The following is an 826-nucleotide window of genomic DNA, read 5'->3' on the forward strand; positions in this document are numbered from 1 at the left end:
TAAAGCTGCCTAAGTCACCCGGTGTCAAGTCACACAAGTCAACTGTAACTCCCTGACTAGCTGTCTGCCTGGCAGGCATTCTCTTTATAGAGAATGGACCAACACCCATGACTGTATATAGTTATAATTAAGAGCACAGACTCTGGGGCCAGCCTGCCTGAATTCAGATCCTAGCTTCACATTGTTTGCTCTTCATTGGAGCTGTTCACAAAAATTCCAATTCTCTTCTCCCTGATGTAGTTAATGGATTATATTATCTGCTGCCTTGAAGTTGGGCATGGCCATGTGACTTGCTTTAATTCTTTTGAGAGCAAAAGTGATGTGTCACTTCTGGGCAAAAGCCAGGAAGCCCTCCTTACTCAAAGTGTGGCCCATGGTCCAGCACTATGGGCATCACCTAGAAGGTTGATAGAAACATGGCATCTCAGGCCCTCCAGGACCTCCTGAATCAGAATGTGAATTTAATAAGCTCCCCAGGAGATGCCTATGCACGTTTAAGTTTGAGAAGCCCTGCCCTAAGGTATGAAGCATTATTCACCATGTTCTCTTCTCTGGCCACAGCAGCTGATGTCCCCGGTGGTGAAGTTTCCTTTAGCCTAGGCTCCTGGCCTGACCTGAGATGGACAAGAAGCAAGGCATGAGAAAAATAAGCTTTGGTTCTAAGCCACTAAAACTTGAAGGCTGTTACATTGGTTTAACTAGCTCCTTCTGAGTGATGTGATCACTTAGCACTCTGTGACCTTGGGCAAGTTACATAATCTCCCTGTGCCTCAGCTTACTTGATGTAAAACAGAGACAGTAACAGAAAATAATATTTTAAACATGA

The sequence above is a fragment of the Homo sapiens genome, chromosome 6 (assembly GCF_000001405.40).
Source record: "Homo sapiens chromosome 6, GRCh38.p14 Primary Assembly".
NCBI classification, from domain to species: Eukaryota; Metazoa; Chordata; class Mammalia; order Primates; family Hominidae; genus Homo; species Homo sapiens.